This window comes from Homo sapiens, chromosome 10, assembly GCF_000001405.40.
Source record: "Homo sapiens chromosome 10, GRCh38.p14 Primary Assembly".
In the NCBI taxonomy this organism is placed as follows: domain Eukaryota; kingdom Metazoa; phylum Chordata; class Mammalia; order Primates; family Hominidae; genus Homo; species Homo sapiens.
The window spans coordinates 55,665,797-55,669,301 of record NC_000010.11 but is presented as its reverse complement, the minus strand read 5'-3'; the positions used below and the strand labels follow the sequence as shown (position 1 = coordinate 55,669,301).

Sequence of the window (3,505 nt, the reverse complement as noted above, 5' to 3'; positions counted from 1 at the left end):
ACACCTTATTTAATAATTATTGTTGATTCATTAACATTGAACTCACAGCCAATACACTATCATTTGTGCTTGAACAGAGATCATCTAATACACCTGATTTCTCCATGTAGCAGATCACAGTCTTCTTGCACTCAGGAGTACTAGAAAGCAATTCAGCACTAGGCTGAGGGGGAGAAGCATTTGAAGGTGTAAAGTCACTAGTGAAAACCAAATAGTGCAAAGAACACTGCACAAAGAGAGCTCAGAAATGTCACTGATTAGGATATGAGAATTGAAACAAGAAGACAGAAAGTTACCTTGTTCTACCTTAGGTGTTGTATATCAGGCAAATCAAATTTTTTGCTGCTCTGTGAATGTTCGCAAATGATGGCAAAAGCACCTCAAGTATTAATTTCAGGATTACAAATAAGCTTTAGCTCATAGGGGAATTTACAAATATGGACTCTGTGAATAATGAGAATCAACTGCAGTTAGTTTAAGCAGTTGTGAAAAATTGAAGGCCAACACCACATCAGGTGTAAAAAATATCAAATTACCAAATTTTAAATGTTTAATTTTCTTCTAATATTTTAATGAATGTCAACATATAATCAACCAATTTGGAATTGCTGTTGGTGAGTTGCTAGAGAAACATGAATATTTGGAAATTTATTCAACTCAAAATTTTTTTCCAAGACAGACAATTTAGGAGAGCAATTAAAATTATTTGCAAGAGTGAGAGTGGCAACCTGCACTTCAGTATACTGTACCAATGTGGTCATTTTTTTCCCCAGCTCATCACTGCCCCCTAGGTGAAATGAACTGTTAATAATTCAAGAAAGCTTTTAAAATCATTTAAGGCATTTCGGTTTGTACTTGTAATCATTAAGAACAATTTCAGTCTCTCTGCTCTTCTGGTTCGACAGACAGCTGCATCTTCTCATGCACCACCAGCCTCTTCCCTGAGACACCATGGTGAAGGTGAAGGCCAGAGCCAACGGATTGGACTATATTGGGCACCCGGTCACTAGGGCTGCTTTTAATTCTGGTAAAGTGGATATTGTCACCATCAATGACCCCTTCATTGACCTCAACAACATAGTCTACATGATCTAGTATGATTCCACCCATGGCAAATTCCATGGTACAGTCAAGGCTGAGAATGGAAAGCTCGTCTTCAATGGAAATCCCATCATCATCTTCCAGGACCAAGATCCTACCAAAATCCAATGGGGTGATGTTGGCACTAAATGTGTTGTGGAGTCCGCCAGTGTCTTCACCGCCATGGAGAAGGCTGGGGCTCATTTGCAGGGGGAGCCAAAAAGGTCATCATCTCTGCCGCCTCTAGTGATGACCCCGTGTTTGTGATGGGCGTGAACTATGAGAAGTATGACAACAGCCTCAAGATTGTCAGCAATACCTCCTGCACCACCAACTGCTTAGCACCCCTGGCCAAGGTCATCCATGACAACTGTCATTGTGGAGGGACTCATGACCACATTTCATGTAGTCACTGCCACCCAAAAGACTGTGGATGGCCTTTCCAGGAAACTGTGGCATGAAGGCCGTGGAGCTCTAAAGAACATCATCCCTGCATCTACTGGCACTGTCAAGAACAGGGGCAAGGTCACCCTGAGCTGAATGGGAAGCTCACTGGCATGGCCTTCTGTGTCTCTACCGCCAAACTGTCAGTCGTGGACCTGACCTGCTGTTTGGGAAAAACTGCCAAATATGATGGCATCGAGAAGGTGGTGGGGCAGGCATCGGAGGGCCCGCTCAAGGGCATCCTGGGCTACACTGAGCACCAGGTTGTCTCCTCCGAATTCAACAGCAACACCCACTCTTCTGCTTTCAATGTCAATGAGGGCAATGACATTGCCCTCAACAACCACTTTGTCAAGCTTATTTCCTGGTATGACAATGAATTTGGCAACAGCAACAGGGTGATAGACCTCATGGTCCACTTGACCTCCAAAGAGTAAGACCCCCAGACCACCAGCCCCAGGGAGAGCACAAGATACAAAAAGAGGCCCTCAGCTGCTGGGGAGTCCCTGCCACATTCAGTCCCCCACCACACTGAGAATCTCCCCTCCTCACAGTTTCCATGCAGACCCTTTGAAGAGGGAGGGGCCTAGGGAGCCTCACCTTGTCATGTACCATCAATAAAGTCCCCTGTGCTCAGCCAAACAAACAAAGAGAACAATTTCAGCTGCAAATAAAAGAAAATAGAGAACAAAATTTCCTCATATTATTTAGATGTTGGGAGGTAGGTCCTTACCATTATAAGTTATTTCTGATTTTAAAATATCATCAAAACCTCAGGTGTATGTTTTGTATGTTGTCATTTTCTGTATGCCAGAGTTACCATAATAGTTCTAGGAGTTTCAGACACATCGAGGCATCAATTCAATTTTTTAAAAATCTCCAAAGGAAGAAGAAATGTTGTGTTTATATAGTCTTATCTGAACCCTGTAAACAACTTCTTCTAACGTGTGTTTGTTCATAACTGTGCCACATGCTCATGGCAAAACAGGCACAGGCAAAGAGAATAGCATACTTATGGGGTTGTGGGCTTCTTCTGTGAAACACACAACAGAGTGAAGAAGAATGCAAATCTGAATGAATTTTGAAATTCTGTAAGGACATAGGATGGGAAAGTGGATGCTTAGTAAGCAATAAATAACGTACACTACAGAATCATAACTAACACTTCATTAAATGACACTATTGGCTTAGAAAGATGAAATGTTACGATTTAAAATACAATGTTTTTTAAGTATTTCAGTTATTTTTACCAGCTGTGTTTATTTTTCAGTGTTTTTCTTTTATTTTATTCAAGTGAAAGTTTTTGTTATATTCACATGAAAGTTGTATTTGAAAAAGTTTTCTGTACTACTCTTTTAACATCAACTTTATTTAGAACTCAGTGCCTTAGGGGACATTTATTTTTAAAGAGGAGAAGCCCATTCAACTGAGCTTAGGTTAAAAATGGACTTCTGTTTGATTTTTATATTCATATAAAGGATTTTTATTAGGCAATATAGTCTCAAAGATGCTGCATGTATTATTTGGAAGGGGAACAGGTTGAGGAATTAGTTCTGAAAATCATTTTATGATTAAATACGTCACTCTAAAGAAAATAACAAAATGCAAGGTACCATCATAAAATAAAGAATGCCCAAAAATTGTAATAATAAAATTATCAGAATATGAACAGGGCTAGAAAAAAAAGACTTAATAGAACAAAATAGAAAGCAGAACCAACCTATACATATATGTAGAAATTTCATCATTTGTATGGTGGTATTTCAAATTTGTGGAATCTAGATCAGTCAATTTGAATAAAAAATACTGGCTGAATTCCAGATGGAAATCCTGGACTGTCCACTTAATATTTTCATTCTAATAGGCATCTTAACATCACAAGTTCAAAACAGAGTTCACGATTTCTTTCAATCTATCCTTTCCCATTTTAATATATAACAAAACTCTCTACTTGATTACTCAAAATACAAATCTAAGGGTC

General features: G+C 39.2%; 1 pseudogene; it reads left to right on the top strand.

Annotated features, from left to right (window-relative positions):
• GAPDHP21 (glyceraldehyde 3 phosphate dehydrogenase pseudogene 21) lies at window positions 882-2,164 on the top strand (annotated as a pseudogene).